The 24,621-nt window shown below is 52.8% G+C and overlaps 1 protein-coding gene and 1 non-coding gene across 52 annotated transcripts in view, besides 5 other annotated features; both read left to right on the top strand.

Annotated features, from left to right (window-relative positions):
• ABLIM2 (actin binding LIM protein family member 2) overlaps window positions 1–24,621 on the top strand; it is a 193,487-nt gene that overhangs the window by 144,927 nt on the left and 23,939 nt on the right. For 8 of the 51 annotated variants that reach the window (XM_047416308.1, XM_047416301.1, XM_047416299.1 and 5 more), the window contains 5 exons: window positions 3,338–3,457; window positions 4,785–4,837; window positions 5,687–5,828; window positions 8,123–8,245; window positions 20,960–21,021. In XM_047416308.1, the coding sequence (XP_047272264.1) occupies window positions 3,338–3,457; window positions 4,785–4,837; window positions 5,687–5,828; window positions 8,123–8,245; window positions 20,960–21,021 (500 nt within the window). Of the gene's footprint in view, window positions 1–3,337; window positions 3,458–4,784; window positions 4,838–5,686; window positions 6,859–8,122; window positions 8,246–20,959; window positions 21,022–24,621 lie in introns of those variants that run through there. The other 43 variants (NM_001130085.2, NM_001130087.2, XM_005248030.5 and 40 more) reach the window with 12 other exon arrangements.
• Window positions 191–485: a silencer, noted in NCBI's record as "tiled region #2931; K562 Repressive non-DNase unmatched - State 21:Repr". NCBI's record gives its function as "represses a minimal TATA promoter and a strong SV40 promoter by Sharpr-MPRA in K562 cells {active_cell/tissue: K562}" and the evidence as "EXISTENCE:reporter gene assay evidence [ECO:0000049][PMID:27701403]".
• Window positions 191–485: an enhancer, noted in NCBI's record as "tiled region #2931; HepG2 Activating DNase matched - State 8:EnhW". NCBI's record gives its function as "activates a minimal TATA promoter and a strong SV40 promoter by Sharpr-MPRA in HepG2 cells {active_cell/tissue: HepG2}" and the evidence as "EXISTENCE:reporter gene assay evidence [ECO:0000049][PMID:27701403]".
• Window positions 7,234–7,822: an enhancer, noted in NCBI's record as "H3K4me1 hESC enhancer chr4:8007792-8008380 (GRCh37/hg19 assembly coordinates)". NCBI's record gives its function as "activates a minimal SCP1, AML or CMV promoter by ChIP-STARR-seq in naive H9 embryonic stem cells {active_cell/tissue: H9 hESC(naive)}" and the evidence as "EXISTENCE:reporter gene assay evidence [ECO:0000049][PMID:30033119]".
• On the top strand, window positions 8,506–8,586 carry MIR95 (microRNA 95). Its single transcript, NR_029511.1, has one exon. It is a non-coding gene; the product is annotated as a microRNA 95 (primary transcript).
• Window positions 14,783–15,283: an enhancer, noted in NCBI's record as "H3K4me1 hESC enhancer chr4:8000331-8000831 (GRCh37/hg19 assembly coordinates)". NCBI's record gives its function as "activates a minimal SCP1, AML or CMV promoter by ChIP-STARR-seq in naive H9 embryonic stem cells {active_cell/tissue: H9 hESC(naive)}" and the evidence as "EXISTENCE:reporter gene assay evidence [ECO:0000049][PMID:30033119]".
• Window positions 20,267–20,807: an enhancer, noted in NCBI's record as "H3K4me1 hESC enhancer chr4:7994807-7995347 (GRCh37/hg19 assembly coordinates)". NCBI's record gives its function as "activates a minimal SCP1, AML or CMV promoter by ChIP-STARR-seq in primed H9 embryonic stem cells {active_cell/tissue: H9 hESC(primed)}" and the evidence as "EXISTENCE:reporter gene assay evidence [ECO:0000049][PMID:30033119]".

Raw genomic sequence — 24,621 nt, 5'->3', positions numbered from 1 at the left:
CTCACTCACTTCCTCCGTGCACCTGAGGCTGCAGGTTGGCACATCAGTTACTGAAGGGAGTGCAGAGACTCATCAGATGCGGCCCTTTCCCTGGAAGCATCTCTCTTCAGCTGCTCCGTGGGAAAGTGGATTTGTACAAGTCACAGGAAGCAAAGTCAGTGGCGATGCAGCCCTGAGTCTGAAAATTTACACGTGTGACGTGGAGGACAAAGTGGCTCCAGCTCTGGCTTCAGGGTCAGACAGACAAGGTTCCAATCACCAGCTATGTGACCTTAGACTCCGGACCTCGGTCTCCTCATCTGTAAATGAGGTTCATAGCATCTATTATTATCTGTTAACATGCTTTACAAATGTTTACCCAAGGGCTGGGCGCAGTGACTCACACCTGTAATCCCAGCACTTTGTGAGGCTGAGGCAGGTGGATCATTTGAGGTCAGGAGTTCAAGACCAGCCTGACCAACATGGTGAAACCCTGTCTCAACTAAAAATGCAAAAAATTAGCCGGGCATGGTGGTGGTCACCTGTAATCCCAGCTACGCGGGAGGCTGAGGCAGGAGAATTGCTTGAACCCAGGAGGCAAAGGTTGCAGTGAGCCGAGATTGCGCCATTGCACTCCAGCCTGGGCAACAGAGTGAGAATCCATCTCAAAAAAAAAAAAAAAAAAAAAGGAAAAATGTTTATCCAGACCACAATACAGTGCTTATCTGATGAGTAGGTATTCAGTAAGTGTTTATCACATGCATGTTCTCAGGGAAGTGTCTCTGTGTTGACTTTGCTCCTCCCATCAAAGTTCTTGTTATGTATAGAAACCCTCTCATCCACCTCTGCCTCGACTTCACTGGCCTGTGAGCTTCTGAAAGACAAGGGTCATGTCTGAGTTTTTTCTGCATCCCCCATTCTTAAGACAGTACAGTGCACAGTAGGCACTCAGCACAGGGAGATGGGGATAAAGGTTGAGGGGCTAAGGGTGAACAGAGGGTAGATGGACTGATCGATGGATTAAGGGCTACATGGATGAATGGATGCATCAGTGGGCAAAGAAATGAAGTGGACAAAGAGAGGAATGGATGAATGGATGGGTGGATGAGTGGGTAGATGGATGCGTGAGTGTGGGTGAGTGGGTGGATGGATGGATGGATGGATAGATGAGTAGGTGAGTGAGTAGATAAGTGGAAGCTGGATGAATAAATATCAAAATAAGTGAAGGCACAAGTGGATGGATAGATGGATGGATGGGTGGTGGGTGGATGGATGGGTAGATGGATGGTTGGGTGGCTGGCTCGATGGATGGGTGAAGAATGGGTGGATGGATGGGCAGTGGATAGATGGGTGAGTGGGTAGATGGATGGATTAATAGATGGGTGGATGGGTGGGTGGGTAGATGGATGGATGGATGGATGAGTGAAGGATGGATGGATCAATGGGTAAATGAACGAATGGGTGGGTTGATGGGTGGGCGGGTAGATGAATGTATGAATGGACAGATGGATGTATAGGTGGGTGGATGGGTAGATGGACAGATGGGTAGATAGATGAATAGATGGGTGGATGGGTGGGTGGATGGATGGATGGATGGGTGAAGGATGGGTGGATGGATGGTTAGATGGATGGGTGGTGGGTGGATGGATCAGTGGATGGGTGCCTGGCTGGCTGGATGAATGGACAGATGGATGTATAGGCGGGTGAATGGGTAGATGGATGGATGAGTAGTTAGATGAATAGATGGGTGGATGAGTGGGTGGGTGGATGGATGGATGGATGGGTGAAGGATGGGTGGATGGATGGGCAGATGGATGATGGGTGGTGGCTGGATGGATGGGTGGATGGCTGGCTGGCTGGATGAATGGACAGATAGTTAAAGGAGTGGGTGCATGGATAAGTAGGTAAAAGGGTGAATGAATAAGTATATGGAAAGGAATAAAGCAGTAAGGGATGCACACAGGCTGGCATGGATGTTCAGATATGAATGAATTATAAGATGGGGTTTGGGAAGGAGGAAAGGCAGGCCAGTTCTGTATCCAGAAAAAAAAATTTGAGACCTCTTACTTTCATTCAGATGCCTCCAACCAAAGATTTCCCAAGGAATACAGGGAGTAGAAAGCCAGCCTTTCCCAAGAGGGTTCCTCACTGGCAAATGCATTCCAGAACTCAGAAGGAGCTGCCTGTGTGATACAAAAGACATATTAAACTCTCTTTCTCTGATTGTCCTGAGTTGATCTTTTTCTGACATCCCAAAGCAGCATGCTGCAAATTAGCCTCAAAGTTAGCCTCTTGTTTATTCCTAATTTTTCAAACCTGTAAGCTGAGTTTCCTATTATGTTCCAGCATCCATGCAGGTTATCTCATGTGATCCTCACAACGTGGAGGGGTGGGCATCCTTTGCCCATTTTACAGATGAGGAAACTGAGGCTCAGAGCTGTTATGGAAGCAAGCCACCAATAATCCGAAGTGCCAGTTTCCTGTCTTTTCCTACCCAAGCTCCTAGTTCTCAAGAGACTCGGTCATCTGTTCTGTGGGCTAGCAAACTGGTTTTTAAAAAAGCCGTTGGTACAAGTCTGGTTAAACTGTGCACATCTGGAGGAGCTGGCAGTGTTTGCAAAGGAAACTTGGTAAATCTTGGCAGAGCATCCCTCTCTCAGATGGCGGAGGCTGTTTTTGAGACCTGAGATGGCTTTTCAGCCAGAATGTGTCAGTCAACCCATCTTCCATGGCCAAGGAAAGTCCCTGAAGCCAGGCTGACCTCTGGGGACCCAGGCCTGAATTCCAAGGGCTGGGATTTCAGGTCCCCAAGGGCCCTTCAGCTGGAGCGACGACTTAATTGTCCATGCACGTGCAGATTATTCCAAGAGTGGTGATCCACTTTCCAACCTCCTGGCTTTTCAGGAAACGATGCACTTATTTTTGCCAGCCAACTCAGCCCCAGGGCCCTTCTCTGGCTTGGACAATGGTTGTGCTCTTAGAGCTCCAAGCAGCCCCTAGCCTGCCTTCTCCCTGGGACTTGCTGGGCAGCTGCCAAGAGTCATCGCTGATGTATGGCTGCACACTCAAGGGCTCCGCTGCCGGGTGACGGCTGTTGTCTGGGCAACAGGAGAGTCCAGCTGCGGGCATGCGTCCCCCGGAGCTCCCTGCCCCCTCTGCCTCTCCATTAAGCGCTTCTTGAGCAGGCTTGGCGTTGATTTGCCTCTGTGAGTGGGGAGAGCAGGGCTTTGTATTTTCACGCTGAAAATCACTGTCTCTCCTGGAAGAAGGAGAAACAGGTAGCCGTTGAGAGTAACGAGATGTTAGTGTATTCGGAACGGAACTGCTCAGTCTTCAATTTTGGCCTTATCTTGTCAAGGTCCTGTAGCCCAATCCCAAATTTCCAAGCTCTCTGGCCTGGTATCAGTCTTGTCCTTGGTGGTGCAGGAGGCAGGGTACGGCAAAAGACAGACGGGCCCGAGCCCGCCGCCCGCTGCAGGTAAGAAGCCCACCTCGGCGTGTCCTTCCTGAGGCCTGGGTCTTCGTGGCGGGCTGGGGACGGAGACGGGTTTTTGTGTAATTGTTCAGTGCATGGGGTCAGTGTTTCTGTAAGGGATACACAAGGTGTGGGTGTTTACCTACTAAGTTGGATGCCGAGAAATGTCAGCATGGCCTTGTGTGATTTATTTGCTCATTCTTCGCTGGAAATGTCAGCCCAGCTGGGTGACAACCCCCCAGAAAAAGGCAAATGGAAAATCCAGATGCCTCGTTGCTCAGCTGCAGATGGTATTCTTGGTAAAGGAACTGTTGCAAAATGAACTTTTGCTTGTTCTATTTCATTGAGTCCATTTCTGGTTGCATTCTGTAATTTTGTCATTTCCTGACTGCTCTTCGTGGATGTCTTCCAGTAGCAGAACTCGTCACCATTTTGCAGTTTGCCAGCAGCAGTTAGCCAGGTGTGGCAGACAGGGAAGGACTTTGGACTCAGAAGGCCTGGGCTCATGTTGGCCCCTACCGCCCACTTGCCCGTGACCTTGGGCGAGGTATACCATGTCCCTGAGCCTCAGTCTCCCGATCTGTGAAATGGTGCAAAGCTTCTTCCTGCGGGGGTGGGCGGGGTAGTCAGTGGCGTATCCAGAGCCCCTCGCCCAAGTCAGACACGTAGGCCTCCACGACTGAGACCTTGTGTTACGTGGGAGGTTTTTAAAATGCTTGTTCTCAAAAGGCCAAGTGGGCCAGGTGCGGTGGCTCATGCCTGTAATCCCAGCAGTTTGGGAGGCTGAGGCACGTGGATTACTTGAGATCAAGAGTTCAAGACCAGCCTGGCCAACATGGCAAAACCCCATCTCTTCCAAAAATATAAAACTTACCCAGGCATGGTGATGCACACCTGTAATCCCAGCTACCGGGTGGCTGAGGCAGGAGAATCGCTTGAACCTGGGAGGCGGAAGTTGCAGTGAGCCGAGATCACACCATGGCACTCCAGCCTGGGTGACAGAGCGAGACTCCATCTCAAAAAAACAAAAAACAAAACAAAATCAAAAGGCCAAGTGGCTACATCTGAAAACATTACTCTGTGTGGGTGTTTGGCTAGAACTGAAATCAGGCCTCACTTCACACCCCTGCTGCTGATGCTCCCTGGGTCGTGATCCCTGGGGACCTCCTCCAGCTTACCTTGTTCCTTGCCCTTTGAAAGGCACTCGTACTACTGACCTTCTCTTTGATTGATTTTTCATTTTTGAGCATAACTGTAACATGGGAAACCATGAGGCAGAAACCCACAAGCAATGGTGTGTGGCCTTTACAAATGGATTTTTCCCTTCCAGCTGCCAGGCGATCGGATGGGGAGGATGGAAGCTTGGACCAGGATAACAGGAAGGTAATGCCAGGGAGCAGATCTGGCTGAGAACAGCCTTGCTCAGAAAGAAATTGCTTTTGTGAGGGCTTCTCCGATTGAGACTTCGAATCTTCCTCTTACATTCTGTTCCTTAGGGGCCCTGCGAGGCCAAAGGTAGGAGGCCCTTCCATCAGTTTCCTTCCTACATTTAGGATGCACACGTCTCCTACCGAGGTCCTGGGTATATGCCCGTGTGACTTGGTTATGGTTCTGTGACTGAAGAGATGTGTACCGTGAAAGGGAAATAAATCAAAGTGCATCCCTGGGGCATCCATTATTCTAGGACAGGTTCATCAGACGTTCTTCATAAAGGGCCAGAGAGTAAGTACTTTTGGCTTTGTGGGCTGAACCATCTCCGATGCAGCTACCGAACTCTGTGAACGCAGCCGGAGCCAGGGCACGAACAGGCATCTCCGTGTTCCAACAACGTATTCATGACAAAAGGAGGCTGCAGGCTGGGCTTTACCTGTGCTAGGGCTGGAAAGCAGGGCTGTGCATAGGGAGAGCCCGAGGCTGGACTTGGGCAGCAGCCCTCATTCTCCCCGTGCAGAGCCCTGTGGGCCCCTGGCCTCCCAGAGCCTCAGTGGCTGTGTCCGTAAGATGGGGCAGCTCCGTTTCCCCCAGATGCTCCATGTACCTGTATAGCGTCTGGATAGGTCTCACTAAATGGCAAGATTTTTATTGAAAGCTGCATCTCTCACATATTGAGTTTTCTCACAGTGGGGTCAGCTCGTATGTTAGAAGTAAGGAAGCTACAAGAAGGGTCCAGTGAGATGTTCCCACCATTGCAGATGACCTTGACATTTGCATGACTTTGTTTTTTACCTTCAGCAGAAGAGCAGCTGGCTGATGCTCAAGGGGGATGCAGACACAAGGACCAATTCTCCAGACCTGGACACCCAGTCCTTGTCCCACAGCAGCGGGACCGACAGAGACCCTCTCCAAAGGATGGCAGGGGACAGCTTTCACTCACGTGAGTGGTTCTTTTGAAGAAGGAGCCGTGATGTGCACAAAATGCCTCGCGGCAAAGAGGCCCCAGAACTCAGAGCTATCCCCCTACATCTAAGCCTTGCCTGTTAAAAAGCATGAAAGCAAAGCCCACAAATCTAAGGACCGACCGGAAGGAAATATGGGGCTTTTGCAGTTTGCCGGCTTCCCAAGAACTGTCCCCGAGCCAGTGTGCTAACGAGGGCCACGCCTGCATGTCCCCTCACAGATTTCCAAGGTGTGCAAGAATGCAGAAACCCAGACCTGCTCCTGGGCTGTTTAGGAGAAAGGCGTCCGGGCTGCCGGGTGGAAGTCAGGGCCTGTTCCCTCCAGAGCAGACATGGGCATGGTCCGGCTGATGAGTGCAGACTTGGAGTTGGTGATGGGCACCATCCCTGTCCCCTGTGACTCATCCTGAACGAGGCACAGCCTCAGGCTTCATAGAGAGACAGTGATGGTGTCTGCCTGACCCTAGGGGTGTTTTGAAGACTGAATCAGGAGTGATTTTCAAATGTAGAGAAAACTCCAGATAATGCTGTTTGCTTCCGGCCGCTGTAAATCATAGGTGAAAACCAGTAGCAAGTGCTCACTCAGTGCCTCCCAGAAGCGGTCTGCGGGTCTCAGCTGGGCTGGGGGCAGTTTTCATTGGGCAAGGCTTGGGCTTAGCTTCGAAGCAGGGGCTGGGAGAGGATGGATGGGGGTGTGAGAGCAGAAGAAAGACCTGGCTTTGCAGTGAGGCAGTCCCAAGTTCAAATCTGAGCTCACCACTGACCCGTCGTGTGATGGGCGCCAGGTGTTAGGAGACTGGAACTGGGTATGTGTGTGGCATTCGGCCGGCCATAGTAGCTGCTCAGTAAACAGAAACTGTTTCTCATCCTCATCCTCATCCTCATGCCTGCAAACTGTAAACCGTCCTACTTAACAATGAAAGTAGAAAAGTGTTTCAATGTGACAGGAAAGAGTGAAGACACAGAAGCTTGGAAATGATGATGTGTTAAAGAATCACTTTAAACAAAGAAAGGTGTGTTGCTTGTGTATGATCTCTGTAAGCAGGTGTCTGTGCACCCCTCAGGCCTCTGCCCCCGCCTGGGGTGCAGCTTTGTAAATACCAGGATCCCAGCATTCAGGCACAAGGCTGATGTCACCATGGGAAAGCCACCCCCCCCCTGCAAAAATCCCCCAGAGGGAGAGGGGTTCACCCCAGATGGCAGCCTGCTCCTTCCGGAGGAACTGCCCACCTCATCTGCAGGCAGGGCAAGGGGGCTATGGGGCTGGTCCACGCGCGCCTGCCTGTGCCCCCGTGGGCAGCTGCATGCCAGTCCTCCGGTCCCTCTCTCTCGGATCCTAGGAATCCCTGCCCCTGGCTGGTGTAGCACCTGCCCACGGGCCAGGGAACATTGGCCTGGCTCATGGCCCATCTGCCCTGCACTCACGTGTCAGATGCCGTTGTGTTTAGAGGAGGAGAGCTCCTCTTGCACCAGCTCGGCAGCTTCCCCAGCACCCTCCCTACTTTGCTCAGTGTCCCGGCATCAAGGCATTTGCCCTGGGAACCAGGAAATCAGTGTTTAGGGATCTCAAGGTGGCATCGTTCAGTGTTCAGTTCTTCCCTTGCCAGGTGGCCGGCAGAACTCTGCAAGGCTGGGGCCATACTGATGACCTCCCCCACTTGATGACCTCCCCACAGACTCTTCAGGGAGGCCAACTACTGTCCCCAGAATTTCTACTGACGTTTGTGGCCTGCCTGTGGCTCAGGACTAAGAGAGGGGGGTGCTGTGTGGGAGAAGCCGGACTAGAGACGGGCTGCCCCCTGTGACCCCCGTGCCCCTGATACTCTCTGTGACCTGCACATGTGGCCTTCACCTCGTGCACTGCTTCCTCGTTTGAAAATGCCAGAATGTAGGTGCCCTGGAGTTGCCCCAGGAGAACACGAGCCTGGTGGGTGGCCAGCCTTGCGAGGCCCAGAGGCCATGTCAGGTGTGTGGATGTCAGGTGGTCACTCAGCGGCAAGGGCATGTGTGCCAGCCCCACCCCTTGTCGTCACATTCTTCTCCCAGGCTGCCTGTGCAGATGCACGCAGGCTGCGGCTGCCTCCATCCTGGCATGCTGGGTCTGCAGGACTCCAATGGCCCGTGCTGCACTCATGAATTCCCCGGGGAGATTCTGCTCCAGCACAGACATATGTGTCCTTCCCCTGGCCATGCCTGCTTATGAAGATGTGGCTATGATGCTGTCCTTCCTTCGCTTTCTCCTGGTGTGCTAACATCCACTTCCTCTGAGCAGGAAACCCGCTGTGTCTAACCATTCTGATTGTGCCTTTACTTCTGTCCCGATGGCATTGCCTTGTTTCCCGATTTGCATGGAAATGGCAGCGAGGACCCAGACTGCCGGCTGTGCCTGGATCAGGTGAGCCTTGCCGTCTGCGGCCTCCTGAGGAATCCAGGCGGGAAGGGGAGCACATGGAGATTGAGAGGGAGCCACCCTTTTTTTTCTCTCGGGGTTCTTTTGATTGTCACCAAGTAGCCCCCAGACCTGAGTCCGTGGGCACCAGTTCCATTTGCACACAGCTTTTACTGAACAAAGCATTTGCACACAGCAAGGCACGCCACCTGCACCCCGGGACGTCCATCTGTAGCGCGCCCAAGGAAGGTAGGATTGTGACACCCAACACAGTGGGCACTCAATAAATGTCTGTTGAATTGAAATGCGTTACATTCAACGGGTATTTATTGAGCACCCACTCTGTGCCAGACGCTGAGCGGGGCGCCGAGGGGGACAGAGAAGACAAGAGCAGCCCCTGACCTGGAGAAGCGTGCAGGGAGCTGAGAGAGGCAGAGACGCCGACAGAGCGAGCGCACACGCATCCCGCCGCCGCCTGCCCGCCGGGCACCTCTTTGGCTTCGCAAGGGCCCGATCACAAACTCATCTCACCCACAACACCATCTGCACATCTCACCCGGGACTGAGTTCATCATTCAGTCATTCATCCATCCCTCCACCAGATACTTACTGAGCACCTACTATGTGCTGGACATGGTGCTAGGCAGTGGTGAGCATGGCCCAGTCCCTGTTCCCCAGCAGGGAAGCCAGAGGACTTTATGGCGGTGACAAACCCGGGAGCCATCCCCATTCCATTAGTTCCCAGCAGGCATTGCCACCCCTCCAAAGAGGGCGTCATAGTGAAATCTATATTTTATTATTGACTGCTTTTCTGTTCCTGTTTATATTACACATAGGGCATTATCTGGACTATGTGCAGAGTAGTTTATATTATCAGTGCACCTGATTTCTGCACAGGAAGGGAGGCTATTGATTTTATGTTATAGGAAGTTTTCTAGAACAAGACTCGCTGCCTTGGGGGAGGAACACAAGGTGGTGTGGACTCCGTGTCCCCGGCAGTAGGGCCTGCTGCTGCTTGGGGTCCCACATTCCTAGCCCCTTGAGGCCCCATCCTCTCTTTTGAGGTCTCTCACGTCCCACCCTCGAAGGTCAGAGGCGTGTCAGCATAATACAAACCCCCGGGCAGCTTGAGGCACTGCCCAGAGGACTCAGTGGCCCCTAGAAAGGACCCAGCACTTCCGAAGGGAATAAGACCCTTTCCTCCAATCCCAGCACATGAGGCATGTGTGAGAGGTGGGATAGTGGGAGCCAAGGGTGGTCTGGCCAGGTGGGAGTGGGGGTGAGGAAAGCTCTGAATTAACTGCTGCAGCAGCACAGGGGAGGCCCCAGTTGGGGGCACTTCACCCCCAACCTGCCTGTGGCTTGGCATTTTCTGTCACTTTCTGTGTGTCCTCTCGCTGTGGGACCGGGCGGAGTCCCATGTCTGGTGGGAGGTGCTTGTCTCTGCTTGTCTCTCTGCTGCCTGGTCTCGGAGCCCGTTGGGAGGGAGGGTTAGGAGACAGCGACCCTGCTGCAGCTTTTCTGTGGAAGGGAAGGTGGTGGGTGGGGACCAGGGCAGAGGTGGTCTTCCTCCTTTCCCTTTTTACTCCTCTGGAGCTGCAAGATGGGGCAGAAGAGTTCTTCTCGCGTTCCTTAGTCCGTGGTCGAAGGAAGAGCCTCCCTGACGTGCTACTGTCAATCTCGTGAGGATATCTGGTGGGACGGGCAGGGCACCTGGCCTCAGGCTTAGAGACGTGAGACCCCCTAGGTATGGAATATGCAGACATCAGAACTGGAAGAAGAGGGCCAGGCACAGTGGCTCATGCCTGTAATCCCAGCACTTTGGGAGGCCGAGGCGGGCAGATCACCTGAGGTCAGGAGTTCGAGACCAGCCTGACCAACATGGTGAAACCCCGTCTCTACTAAACACAAAAAATCAGCCAGGCATGGTGGAGGATACCTGTAATCTCAGCTACTTGGGAGGCTGAGGCAGGAGAATCACTTGATCCCAGGAGGCAGAGGTTGCAGTAAGCCGAGATTGCACCATTGCACTCCAGCCTGGGCGACAGAGCGAGACTCCATCTCCAAAAAAAAAAAAAAAAAAAAAGAAAACTGGAAGAAGAGCGTAGTGGTCCAGAGACAGTGGGTGGGAGCTGCCAGTCAACAGATTCAGGCAGTCCCCAACTTCTGACATGGGACCGTGTGACTTTCCGCTGGCGTGAAAGCGATGTATATTGGGTAGAAAGCGAACCTCAGTACCCACACACCCTCCAGTATCCACACACCCATTCTGTTTCTCACTCTCAGTACAGCATTCAGCGAATGACATGAGACGGCCAGCCCTCTATGATGCACCAGGCTGTGTGCTAGATGACTCTGCCTGGCCGAAGGCTAATGCAGGTTTCTGAGCATGTTTAAGGCAGGCTGGGCTAAGCCATGGTGTTTGCTAGGTTAGGTGCATTCAATGCATTTTTGACTTTTGATCTTCTCATCTTACTGGGTTTATGGGATATGATGAGCCCGTGGTAAGCCAAGGGGCATCTCTCTGTATTTCATGAGTGCTTGGTGTGTTCCGGTGCTGTCCTGGGTGCTGGGGACAGAGCAGAGGCCAAAACAGACAAAGTTCCCTGTCTGGGGAGCCGACATTCTACTAGGGGCTGGGAGACAAAGAGAAACAAGCTGAAAGTGAGTTATATCAGTGCCCTGTGCTAAGAGGGCTAGAGAGGGCTGGGGGAAGGGTGCACTTTCAAATACAGTAAGTAGTCAGTGCAGAGAGACGGTACCTGGCACGGCTTGAAGTGGGTGTACACTTGAATAGGGCCGGTATATGGGGGAGAGCATTCCGCATCACCCAGGGCGGAGGCCGGGCCGTGGGTTGGAAGAACAGTGAGGGCCATGCGTCAGGTCACAGAGCAGTTTGTGTGCCCTTGGGAGGACTCAAGCCTGGCCTGACTCAGGATTTAAGCAGCACAGACAGCCTGTAGACAGGTCTGGAGGCAGGAGCAGGGCGGCCTTGGGAAACCGAGACGGTGAGGGTGGCGGAGCTGGGACTCGCCAGAAGCTGGTGGAAGCAGGCCGAGGTCCAATCAGGAAAGGTCTGGAGCGCAGTGCCAGGGAGGGGAACGTCAGCACGACACGAGCGTGACAGGAGATGTTGCATTTTCTGTGTTTAAAACATCAGAAGGCAGCTGCATAGACGGTGGACTGGAGGCTGCCCAGTCAGGGCGAGAGGAAAAGGGCTCCCACAAAAGCAGTGGGGGGCCCTGGAAGGATCTCACTGGCAGGGCCCACATGGTGGCAGCTCAGGAACCACTGGCTGCGGGGGTGACGGAATCAAAGAAGACACTGGGTTGGCTCTGGTGCAGGCCGGCAGAGGCCACCTTTATTCAGAGATGGGATGAGAACAGGTGGGTGTCTTCATGTTGGCTTGGAGAGCCTGAGACGTCCGGGGGGTTGCCAGGGGGCAGACGGAGCTCAGAGGAGAGGTCCAGGCTGGAGGCAGAGACTGAGGGTCCCCGGCTCCCAGATGGGACTGGAACCGTGGGAGTTGGTAGCCCCAGCCACTCCAACTGTGAGTACGTGGCTGTGTCCTGAGTTTGTGTTCCTTTCTCAAGAGGGTCTGAGACTCAAATCAGGTGTGATCTCCTGCCTGGCCCCCAGCCTACTCTTTGTCAGTGTCCTCCCATCTCCCCATCTCAGCAAAATGCTGGGAGGAGAGAGAGCAAGAAAAAGAGAGAGAGAGCACGCACATGTGTGTGCTGACAAGCGGGCAGGTGGGAAGGTGCCATCGGGGGGCAGGAGATTCCACAGAGGAAGTGGGGAGGAGCGCCCAGGAGGGAGAAAGCCAGGAGAGGAAGTGGGCCAGGGAAGTGGGGAAGGGGGCAGCCAGCAGGGCTGATCCTGCAGAAAGGGCGTGGAGGGACAGCCCAGGGAGAGCTGGGGGCTCAGGCGTGGCCACCTTGGCATCCAGCTAGTGGCTGGAGGGTCCCTCTATACAGAGGCTGTTAGGGAGGAGTGGCCAGCTGGGGCCACAGTGATGACCTTTCTGGAAGGCCTGGCCTCCTGCTGGGCAGGCAGGGTGCTCTCTGAGCCCCCAGAGAGAGCAGAGGGAGCTCCAGAGGTCAGGGCGAGGACCCCAGCCCAGGAGAAGATGCTGTGGCTGGAGGTATACACCACCCCGAGGACAGTGGCCCCAGGCAGAGCATGCTGGGCTCTGGAGCCCCAGGGAGCAGCCGCTGCCGTTGGGTTGCCTGGGGACTAGCCTTCAGCCGGAATCCCCACACCTCCCCCTGCCCAGCAGGCTTATCCACACCTAGGGACTGAACAGGGTGTGGCCTCCCAGTTCTGCGGGTAGCAGCACAGGCCCTGGGTGGCACCCCGTGTCCCTCTGAGAGCTCATGTTGTCTCATAGCCACAGCCCCAGGGCCTCCTCTGTCCTCCTCCAATGCTGCCTGGGCCCCGACACCGGAAGCTCTGCCTCCCCTCCCCAGTCCAGCTGAACCAGCATTTCATTCACCGCTGCTCAGGGATGAGGGGTGCCCGTCTTCCTCAGATGGACACACCAAGGCTCAGAGAGGGGACCCGAACCTGTGCAGTGCCACAGCCTCCAAACCTCCTGCCCGTGCACCCAGGAGCGGATGGGAACTGCCCAAGCGAGTGGCTCACGGGTCAGGTGCCCACAAAGCAGACCCGGACGCTGTGTGAGCCACAGTCCTCTGCCCATAAGGTGCCCGGCCTTGAATGTCCAGCGGTGACTTTGACCTCTGATGAGCCAGCCTGGAAGAGGACAGACCCGCAGAGAACAGGCTCAGGGCCCTGGATCACAGATCTGTCACCTGTGTGCTTTTCTCCCCATGGACTCTTAGTGCCTGGGAGCAGCGTAAGAGTCTGGTGCCTCCCGTTCCCAGGCAGCAGCCTCGCCATCCGTGCTTGTGATTGGCCGCATCTTCCCAAAGCCTCCGGGGACAGCTCCCTGAGCAGCAGCCTTCTTTCCTGGGACCCAGCATTCATTCTGTGGGGTGGGGGACATGAAGGTGGCTACCCAGAATACAAAGCCGCAGAACTGTCCAGAAGAGCACCTGAGGGGGCCCCAGAGAGTGCTGCCTGAGGGTGCTGCTCCACCCACAATTCAATCCCAGCCCGTCACTTGCTGTGTGACCTTGGGCACTGCATGCGGGCGCTAGTCCACCCATGATTCAATCTCAGCCCGTCCCTTGCTGTGTGACCTTGTGCACAAGAGAAACCTCTCTGAGTTTGAAGTTCCCTCATCTGTAAGAACAGGGATGATCCAGTCCTGCCAGGGAGCATGTGGGGGTTGAGGAGCTTGCACGTGAGCACACGGGGATCCTGTGGCCTGACTCTGAGGGTTGTTGAGGCTCAGCATCTCGAGTCTACAAGCCAGGCCATGGCAAGCCCTCTGTGGACATCTTGGGCCCATCTCACTTGCTTCTGAAGTCTGCAGCTCAGACCAGCCAAGGGGCCTCTCATTCACCACTGCTCAGGGATGAAGGGTGCCCCCCTTCCTCAGATGGAGACACCAAGACTCAGAGAGGGGACCTGAACCCGTGCAGTGCCACAGCCTCCAAGCCTCCTGCCCGTGCACCCAGGAGCGGATGGGAACTGCCCAAGTGAGTGGTTCATGGGTCAGGTGTCCACAAAGCAGACCCGGATGCTGTGTGAGCCACAGTCCTCTGCCCACAAGGTGCCCGGCCTTGAATGTCCAGCGGTGACTTTGACCTCTGATGAGCCAGCCTGGAAGAGGACAGACCTGTGGAGAAGAGGCTCAGGGCCCCAAGAGCAGGCCTGGCGGGGTGCTGAGGGCAAGGTGGCTATGGCAGGCTTCATGGAGGGGAGGCGGCCAGGAGCCTGGTTTGGCTGAGCCTGGGCATGGAGTGGGTAGGCCTCTGGTGCCTGCAGAGCCTCATGTAACTGGCATCAGGACTACCCAGTTGCCGCCATGCTCCTGGCCCCCTACCTGCCTTCTCCCTGTGGGTCTCTCTCTGTACTACACACACCCCGCCTCTTGAAGGCTGTCTGCTTCCATCTGACATGCATTAGACCCCACATGCCTGCAAACCCACACCAGGGCACACTGGCTTGGGAGCAGATAGGGTTACTGGTTCCTGAAGCTAGGGAGCCCTCCTCATCTCAGCCTCTCTAGTTAGTAACTGTTTGACCTTGAACAGATCGCTTGATATCATTAGGTCTCAGCTTCCTCATCTGTAAAATGGGTTCATGTTTAGTGTGTAGGCTGGTGAGAGTCAAGTGAAATCTCTGAATATGTAAAGGGACTTTTTAAACCAGTGATTCTTGGCCGGGCGCAGTGGCTCACGCCTGTAATCTCAGCATTTTTGGAGGCCGAGGCAGGCAGATCACCTGAGGTCGGGAGTTCGAGATAGCCTGACCAACATGGAGAAACCTTGTCTCTACTAAAAATACAAAATTAGCTGGGCGCAGTGGTACATGCCTGTAATCCCAGCTACTCAGGAGGCTGAGGCAGGAGAATCGCTTGAACCCAGGAGGTTGCAGTGAGCCAAGATCACGCCATTGTACTCCAGCCCGGGGAACAAGAACAAAACTCCGTCTCAAAAAATAAAATAAATAAACCAGTGATTCTCAGCGCTGGTTGTGCACAGCATCCCTGGGACCTTTAACATCTACAGATTGCTGGTCCACCCCAACAGAGACCAACTTCAGGAGTCCAGACAGCAGTCCAGGGGGTGAGATAGTGTCGCCTCGTCTCTCTCTGCTCTTCTCTGCTACATACAGCTAAACGGACCTGCAAATGATACGGCAGACGGTTGGTCACAGGACAACTCTAAAGGTGGGAACAGCAAAGTGGCCTGGCGAGGCAGCCTCGGGACCTCAAGGGACAGCAGCCCTGCCTGCCCACTCCCACCCCCACCCAGCAGCAGGAGGTGGCCCAGGCCAGCAGACTCCCAGCCTCCCATGCAGTGGCAGGAGGTGGCCCAGACCTGCAGACTCCCAGCCTCCCATGTGGTGGCAAAAGGTGACGAGGCAGGTGTTTTCCTCCTGCAGCCACACTAGCAGATGGGCAGGTGGCCAGCAGGCACCCCGCAGTCCTGGGAGTGAACCCAGGGGCATGGTCTCCACCCGTGGCAGGCATCTCCCACCCCCACCCAGCGACACAGGACACCCCAAGAAGGGCATTTTATCCCCACAGGCAGCACCGGCAGGGACCCAGGTGGGCAGACCGGCAGCTCCAGGTGAATTTAGCAGACCAGAATAGCACTTCAGCAAGCATTCTGAAAAGCAAATTGTCATTGGAACCGTAGCCTCCAAAAGAACAGGCTGTACACGCGAAACCTAAACAGGGTGACAGCCTGCTCAAATAGAGGATTTAACACTTAACAAGATCAGTCTTCTAACATAATATCCAAAATGCCCAGGATACTGCAGAAAAATTACCCGTCACACCAAGAACACCGAAGATCAATGATTTGAATGAAAAAAGACAGCAGAAGGCCCGGCGCAGTGGCTCACACCTGTAATCCCAGCACTTTGGGAGGCCGAGGAGGACGGATCAGATCACCTGAGATCAGGAGTTGAAGACGAGCCCGATCAACATGGAGAAACCCCGTCTCTACTAAAAATACAAAATCAGCCGGGCATGGTGGCACATTCCTGTAATCCCAGCTACTAGGGAGGGTGAGGCAGGAGAGTCACTTGAACCCGGGAGGCGGAGGTTGTGGTGAGCCGAGATGGTGCCATTGCACTCCAGCCTGGGCAACAAGAGTGAAACTCCATCTCAAAAAAAAAAGAAAAAAAGAAAAAAAAGACAGCAGATACTAACACTGAGAAGAATCAGATGGTGGAATTGTCTGACAAGGATTTTAAGGCATTTATCACTAAAAAATGCTTCAACAAGCAATTACAAATAGTTTAGAAACAGTAGCTGATGAGGGGGTCTCAGGACTCGGGGAAATACGCAGCAACCCCACATCTCCCACCCAGCAGCAGCAGGAGACCCGGGCCTGGAGTCTAGAACACGCAATTGCAGATACTTTTGAAACTGAAAAGGAAGCCTCACCAAAGAAATATAAGCTATATGAAAATGGAAATTATAGAACTGAAAAAATAACCAAAATTAAAAATTTGACAGGAGAGAATCCATGAACTTGAAGACAGAGCAGAAATTATCCTACATGAACAAAAGAGAAAATAGGGGGAAAAATTAACAGAGCCTCAGGGACCTGTGGGACAATATTTGTTTCATTCAATTCCTAGGAAGAGAGGAGGAAGAAAATGGGTTTGAAAAACTATTCAAAGAAATAATAGCGGCTGGGCGCAGTGGCTCATGCCTGTAATCCCAGCACTTTAGGAGGCCGAGGTGGGCGGATCACGAGATCAAGAGATCAAGACCATCCTGGCCAACATGGTGAAACCCTGTCTCTACTAAAAACACAAAAGTTAGCTGGACATGATGGCGTGCACCCATAGTCTCAGTTACTTGGGAGGCTGAGGCAGGAGAATCGCTTGAACCTGGGAGACGGAGGTTGCAGTGAGCCAAGATCGTGCCACTGTGCTCCAGCCTGGGCAACAGAGCAAGACTCCGTCTCAAAAAAATAAATAAATATGTAAAAAATAATGTCTGAAAACCTAACAATTTTGGCAAAAGAAAGACATAAACCTACAAGTTCCAGAAACCAAGTGAGTCCCAAAGAAAGAGGATAAACCCCAAAAATCTGCACCAAGACACATCATAATTAAATTTCTGAAAATTAAGGACAAAGAAAAAAATGTTGAAAGCAACCAGAGAGAAAAAACAGAGGGGAAACACCAATTCAAGCGATAGCAGATTTCTCATCAGAAGCCACAGAGGCCAGCAGGAAGTGTCCTGACGTCTTTCACGTGCTGAAAGAGCAGAACTGTCCGCATGAATCCTGTGTTCAGTGAGATATCCTGCAGAGCTACCCGTAAGGAATCTTCTCCAAACAGAAAGGAAATGATAATAGAAGAAGGCTTGGAACTTCAGAAAGGAAAGAAGAACGTCGGAATAGGTAAAACCGGGGACAAAACATAATAGCCCTCTTCTTGGAAAGAATCATATTCTTATATCACATTGGATGGTTGAAGCAGAATTTCTAGCACCATCTGATACGGGTGCTCAGGGGAAACAGAAGACGTCCCTGAGACTATCATAGTCAAAGTGGGGAGGATAAAATGGCCTTCGCGGAAGCAAGGTTTCCACCTGCATGTGAAGTGGTTAAAAGTTGAGACCGGTCGGCGGCAGCCTGGGCACTGGGAACCTGGCACGCTGTCCAGGTGACTCCAGGGGCAGGCAGGTAGAGGCCTTCGGGCTTAAGAGGGGTGCAGGACACCACCAAGGGTGTTCTCTGTTCTCGAGGCAGTAGGCCAGTGTGCATCGGAATGGTCCAGAAGCCTTGTAAAAACACAGATCCCTGGACCCCAGCCCCAGAATTCTGACACAGGAGGTCTAGGGTAGGGCCCACTAATTTGCATTTCTGACGAGTTCCCTGGCAAGGTTGGGGCTGCTAGCTGGGGATGCCAGTTTGAGAACCACCCCTCTAGCACCTTTGCTGATAAGGAGCTCCCGCTGCAGCTGGAGGGGCCCTCGGGCTCCCAGAGCATGCCTGGCTCTGGGCATGAAGGAGGAGGAAGGTGTCTCCTGGAGGACCCCAGGACTGCAAGGCAGGAGGCCTTGTCTGGCATCCTGGGGCTGCCGCTACCTGGCTGGGTGACCTCAGGCAGGTTCCTGCACGTCTCGGGGCCTTGACTCTCCTTCTGTGACATGAGAAGAGCTGGCTAGGCCATTTACTTGGGGGTGCCGAGGAGGGGCTGGGAGGGGGAGGAATAGCCCGAAGGTCTGGCCCCCGACCCCCGCCCCTCTCACATGTCTGTCTTCCCAGCTCCTCGTTTGCCTGTTTTGCATATCGGGGTTCACATAAAAGCTCATGCGTCGAGGGAGTTCCTCCGCTAGGAGAAGTTTGAGGACCTTGATCTTGATGTTTAAAACACCTTCCTGACCCCCATGTGGAACCTTTCCACTGGCTACCGTGTTGCAAACAAGTCCCCAGCTGAGGCTCCTCCCACAGGCTTCTCTGTGTCCCCATGTGACCTTCATGGAATTTCTTCTCTGTCCTCATTGAGTCCATGAGGAACCCCCAAATGAAAGGCCCCCGGAGAAGCATCTTTTGCTCAGAAGTGAGGTCCCCGGAGAGAGCGGGTGGGCAGTTCTGTGCACAGAACCTGCCTTGCCCCTGGAGGCATGGTCCTTGCTACAGACATGTGGCCTTGTGAGCCACCTTCCCCTCGGAGGCCTCGTGGGCAGCTTGGAAGCTCCCATGAGTGAATGTGGGCATCTGGCCCTGTACCTGGCCGATCTCCGCCACCAGGGCCCAGTACTGGGGTGACACCCCCAGATGAGGCAGGTGTGAGCCATGCTCTTTAAGGCCCCATAGGCTAGTGGAAAGACAGACAGTTTAGGGACCCAGGACAGGTCTTTTAAGAATGCTTCCCTGACTTTTTAATGATTGCCATTCTAACTGGTGTGAGATGATATCTCATAGTGGTTTTGATTTGCATTTCTCTGATGGCCAGTGATGATGAGCATTTCTTCATGTGTTTTTTGGCTGCATAAATGTCTTCTTTTGAGAAGTGTCTGTTCATGTCCTTCGCCCACTTTTTGATGGGGTTGTTTGTTTTTTTCTTGTAAATTTGTTTGAGTTCATTGTAGATTCTGGATATTAGCCCTTTGTCAGATGAGTAGGTTGCAAAAATTTTCTCCCATGTTGTAGGTTGCCTGTTCACTCTGATGGTAGTTTCTTTTGCTGTGCAGAAGCTCTTTAGTTTAATTAGATCCCATTTGTCAATTTTGTCTTTTGTTGCCATTGCTTTTGGTGTTTTGGACATGAAGTCAGGAAACAACAGGTGCTGGAGAGGATGCGGAGAAATAGGAACACTTTTACACTGTTGGTGGGACTGTAAACTAGTTCAACCATTGTGGAAGTCAGTGTGGCGATTCCTCAGGGATCTAGAACTAGAAATACCATTTGACCCAGCCATCCCATTACTGGGTATATACCCAAATGAGTATAAATCATGCTGCTATAAAGACACATGCACACGTATGTTTATTGCGGCACTATTCACAATAGCAAAGACTTGGAACCAACCCAAATGTCCAACAATGATAGACTGGATTAAGAAAATGTGGCACATATACACCATGGAATACTATGCAGCCATAAAAAATGATGAGTTCATATCCTTTGTAGGGACATGGATGAAATTGGAAACCATCATTCTCAGTAAACTATCGCAAGAACAAAAAACCAAACACCGCATATTCTCACTCATAGGTGGGAATTGAACAATGAGATCACATGGACACAGGAAGGGGAATATCACACTCTGGGGACTGTGGTGGGGTCGGGGGAGGGGGGAGGGATAGCATTGGGAGATATACCTAATGCTAGATGACACATTAGTGGGTGCAGCGCACCAGCATGGCACATGTATACATATGTAACTAACCTGCACAATGTGCACATGTACCCTAAAACTTAGAGTATAATAAAAAAAAAAAAAAAAAAAAAAAAAAAAAAGAATGCTTCCCTGGGTGTGGAGGGTCCTGCCCCTCCAGGGTCCAGGCTCTGCCCCTTCCTTTCCAGAATGCAACCACACCACCTCTGAGCCAGGCAGGCGTTCACTTCCTCCCTGCTCTCCCATCACGTGGTATTGAAGAGGTTACTTCGGAGGTCTCAAACTCCCAGCAAGCTCCCAGGCCCACCCAGGGCCAGCCAGGGACATGAGTGATGGAGGGAGCTCGGTGGGGGCTGGGAAAGGCTGCCCCCTCCTGACAGCCCCAGCGAGCCTTGCCCCACAGGGAATCCAGAGTTCATTGTCTCAGACCAGCCCTCTATTATTTCACGAGAAGCTAGAAATTTGGATTTTAATATGAAGCCCCCCAATTGCAAGCAACTCAGGATTTTTTTTATTTATTTTTTTAGAGACAGGATCTCACTCTGTCTCCCAGGCTGCAGTGCAGTGGTGTGAGCATAGCTCACTGCAGCCTCGAACTCCTGGGCTCAAGGGATCCTCCCACCTCAGCCTCCCAAATAGCTGGGACCACAGGCGTGCACCACCACAGCTGGCTAATTGCTTTTTGTAGGGGTGGTCTTGCTATGTTGCCCAGGATGGTCTTGAACTCCTGGCCTCAAGTGATTTTCCCACCTTGGCCTCCCAAAGCTCTAAGATTACAGGCATGAGCCAACATGCCCAGCCAAGAAGTTTATTAAAATAAGATTGCCTCCAGGCCCCATGTGCTTGGTGGTGGGCCTCCATTTGCCACCTCTGGCACAGGATGGCACAGCTCTGCTGTTCCTCCAGGGTTCCAGAGACTGCGCCCCTTCCTGACTCTGCTCAGCTCCCCTGTCTGTAAAGTGAGGGGCTTGGCCCAGGTGCCAGGTGGTGCCCAGGCCCGAGCCTGTCCCTGAACACAGGGGCCAGCTGGGCTGAGGTTCTGTGGCATTTCCGGTGTCACGGGCAGGCTCAGGACATTACCCCTCTGTGGCTTCCTCCTCGGTCAGCGCCCTGGGAACAGAAGGTCACCACTGAGGCAGGTCATGGTCCTCAGGGGGCCTCCCCTGTGTTGCTTGCCCAGCCTTGCCCACCCCGGTGGGAAGCCCCCCCAGGGCTGCACCCCCATTGCTGCACCGAGTCTGCGCGCGTGACAAAGCTGTGCTGTGTCTGTTTCAGGATTCCCCTATTCCAAATCTGACCCTCTCCCAGGACATGGAAAGAATGGCTTGGACCAGCGGGTAGGTACTGACCCCTCCCTGGCCACAGGGTACTAACGATTGCTGTGAGGCTGAGCACGTTTCCCACAGCTTCTTGACCACACAGCAGGAGGAGAGGCCCCGGGGACCCCGCGGCCCACCTGCCTCTGCCTGATGCCCTTCCCAGGGGCTGCCACTGCCACCACTGCTTTTTCCCTAGCAGGACCGAACCAGACCTGGGCAACACCCTCCCCACTCTGCCTCCCTGCCCCCGACCCCAGGGAGAGCTCAGTGTGTGGGAGCAGGGGAGACAAGGGCCACCCAGAGTGATCAGGCGCAGCTCCAAGATGCCCCTCCTAACCGTCTTCGTCCTCCTATGGCACAGAGCCTGATAACCAAGGGCTGTTGCATTTGGTGAGCCAGTGTGAGCCAAGTGCCCACCTCCTTCTCGGGGATGCCCTGGCCTTCCCTGCTATTACTGTTACCGTGATGACACCAAATAATCCTTAGCGTCCAAGGCTGTTACTTGAGGCTGCACGGAGATTGGATTAACTTGAAGTCAGGCTCTTTGGCTGCCCCTAGCTGAAGACTGGTGCCACCTCCTACCCTGAGTTTTCTGATGCTTGGGACATCTGAATATGAGCCCAGACAATCTGGGGGCTGATTGCCTTGCAGAGGGGCCAGGCCCTGTGCCCCAGGACAGTGAACGCCTTAGGAAGAGCGGCTTATGTTTGTTCCTCTGCCCACAGCGTCACAGGGGTCCCCAGTGAGGATCCTTAGGGTGGGGCAGGCTTGCTGGTCCCAGACCCCCCAACACACAGACACACACACACAGCCCAGGGGTCTCCCCATTGCGCAAGGCAGCCTCGTCCCAGTCTGGAAATTTGTTCATAAATAGAGGCAATTCACCTCTCAACCGAGGCCACTAAAAAACTGGCCCCCTCTTTGTTGCGCTGGAGCAGCCGTGGCTGTGTGTAACCCTGGGATGGCATCCCTAAGCAGGTACTCTCCCCAGGGGCAAGGCCACAGGACACCATCTCCAGAAGCCGTGGGTGTCCTCTTGGGCTGGCATTTGTTCTCTCCGTCTCCTTCAGGCTCTGTCAGACCTGCTGCTGTGTTTTTGTCCAAGGCCCAGCCTCCCCGGATCTCCCCCAGGGCCCAGGCACCTCTGCATGGTTTGAATCTAGCAAACCACACCCCTCACCCCACGAACTGCTCTTCCCATTCTGGAATGGGCCTAACTGGGGACCATGCATGTGGCACGCTTCTTTGAATTTTCTCCAAGGGAATTCTCCATTTTTCATCTTCCACATGGAAAGCAGGGGAGATAAGAGAGCTGGACCAATGTCCACAGGACTCCTACGACACCAAAAGACGTGCAAATCCCTGAGCTCAATGTTAGGGGTCCTGGGGACAGTGGGAAAACTGTCTAGAATGTTCCCTTCTCACCTGGAACAGCTGTTCTCTGACAGCCCTGGGGCTGGTGAGCACAGTGTTCACAGTCCGACCAAGCCAAGGTGTTCCACCATCCGAGTGAGGTCCTGGAGACTTTCCTCAATATATAGAAGGAAAGCGAGAGAGCAGCACACTCTGCATTTGTAGTCTTGCGTCACTGACGCCTGGGCTGTGCATCCTCTGGGAAGGTTCTTCTCTAGGCTCACATGCTAAAATGATGCAAATTGATGCCTCTCAGCATCTGCAGAGAAGGTCATGGTCTCCAGAAGCCACACTCTTTTGAGAACAGCCTATTCAGACTTTCTGGCAGGGATGGTCCTCACTCCCTCTCCTAGAACTATTGAGAGCAGAACCTCAAACTTTACAGAATTAAGAACTAAACTTTCTGTGAATATGTTTCTCCTGCAGACTAAGGGGTGGGAAGGAGAGCGTTAGCTGGCGTGCTCTCTGCATGTGCTTGGAGAGCTGATATGCGCAGAACTCATCATCACGTGGAGATTCTTAGCTTTTCACATTGCTTCTGGGGGAGATTGGTGAATATTATTAATGACTTTGCTTTGGGATTCTCTTTTCCCTGCTAATGTTCTTTCCTATTGTTTCACTCTTTCTACGACTTTTATGTACTGTTATGCCTTTTTCTCAGTGAGAAGGCCAGATACTTGATCTTTCACATGACCAGCCTTTTTCAGGGCGGCCCTGCTCAGCACCTGGACTCATGACCTTCCCCTGGAGATGCCCTGGGAGTGCGTGCCCCTGCCCTGTTGCTGATGGCCTACAGTGCTCCTAAGTCATTTCCTAGGCCGTTTCTTGATTTGCCTTTACTTCCAGAAAGGGTTCTGGGTGGCCTCAAGCATAGGTGCAGTGAGACCAAAATCCCATGAACACCAAATCACAAAGGAGGAGAGGAGGAAACTATGGAGAAAATTACATCAAAACAAACAAACAAACAAACAAATATTACATGAGAGGTGGGGCGTGGTTGCTCATACCTGTAATCTCAGCACTTTGGGAGGCCGAGGCAGGCAGATCACTTGAGGTCAGGAGTTCAAGACCAGCCTGCCTCCCTGTCTCTACTAAAAATACAAAAATTAGCAAGGTATGGTGGCGGGCATCCTATAGTCCCAGCCACTCGGGAGGCTGAGGCAGGAGAATTGCTTGAACCTCGGAGGCAGAGGTTGCAGTGAGCTATTATGCCGCTGCACTCCAGCCTGGGTGACAGAGCGAGACTTCATCTCAAAAAATATATATATTACATAAGAAAAGCTGTCAAAGCTTATCTCTGAGCTTCCTGGTGGCCAAGGCATAGAGGCAATCATGTCAGTGATGTAGGCCTCACTGTCTGATGGAAGAGGGGAAATTAGTTCATCATGGGAGGCAAAGGCTTTCCTGGGTGTTCTTCCAGAAGGATTTGTTACAAGGGCCCAGTGACCTAAAGCACAATATGTCCTAAAGGTCATTAAAACGTCCTAATAGCCAAGCCTGCCACAGTGCCTGATGCATGGTAGATGCTCATAACCTACCCTTGAAGTGAATGGAGCAACAGAGGCCTGCTGCTTCTCTCCCTGTGGGTAAGGCAGTAATGACTCTGATGCATACCATGTGTCTGTTATTCAGAGAGTGACGACTGGTGGCAGCAGGTCCTTGTGGTAGCTCCCTGGAAGAAGTCCCATTCTGAAAAAGCATGATGCCAAATGTGAAGAGACTGAGCTGTCCTATTAAAAGACAGAGACTGTCAGATTAGATTTTTAAAATCAGATGTGTTATCATAAGATGCACACTTAAAAACTACTTTTAAAGGATAAGCAAAAGGATAAGAAAGATACTAAAATCACAAAAGGCAAGCAAGAGTGACAATAGTAATATCAAATAGGGTGAAAGTTAAGATTAAAAGGAATTAATAAAATTAATAGTATAAAAGGAGAACACTAATTCATTATGGAGGCATAATGGAATAAAGCAGTTATAGCATTCATCAACTTAAATGCACCAAGCAACATGGCAATGCCAGACACCTTGATTAAATACAAGTATGGTGGGTGATTTGAATATGACTCTTTTGAAATAAAACAAATGGGGCCAGGCAAAGTGGTTCAGGCCTATAATCCCAGCACTCTGCGAGGCCGAGGTGGGTGGATCACTTGAGGCCAGGAGTTTGAGACCATCCTGGCCAACATGGTGAAACCCCAT

This window comes from Homo sapiens, chromosome 4, assembly GCF_000001405.40.
Source record: "Homo sapiens chromosome 4, GRCh38.p14 Primary Assembly".
Classification (NCBI taxonomy): Eukaryota; Metazoa; Chordata; class Mammalia; order Primates; family Hominidae; genus Homo; species Homo sapiens.
Note: the sequence above shows the minus strand (reverse complement) of the source record. Positions and strands in the feature narration are given on the sequence as shown.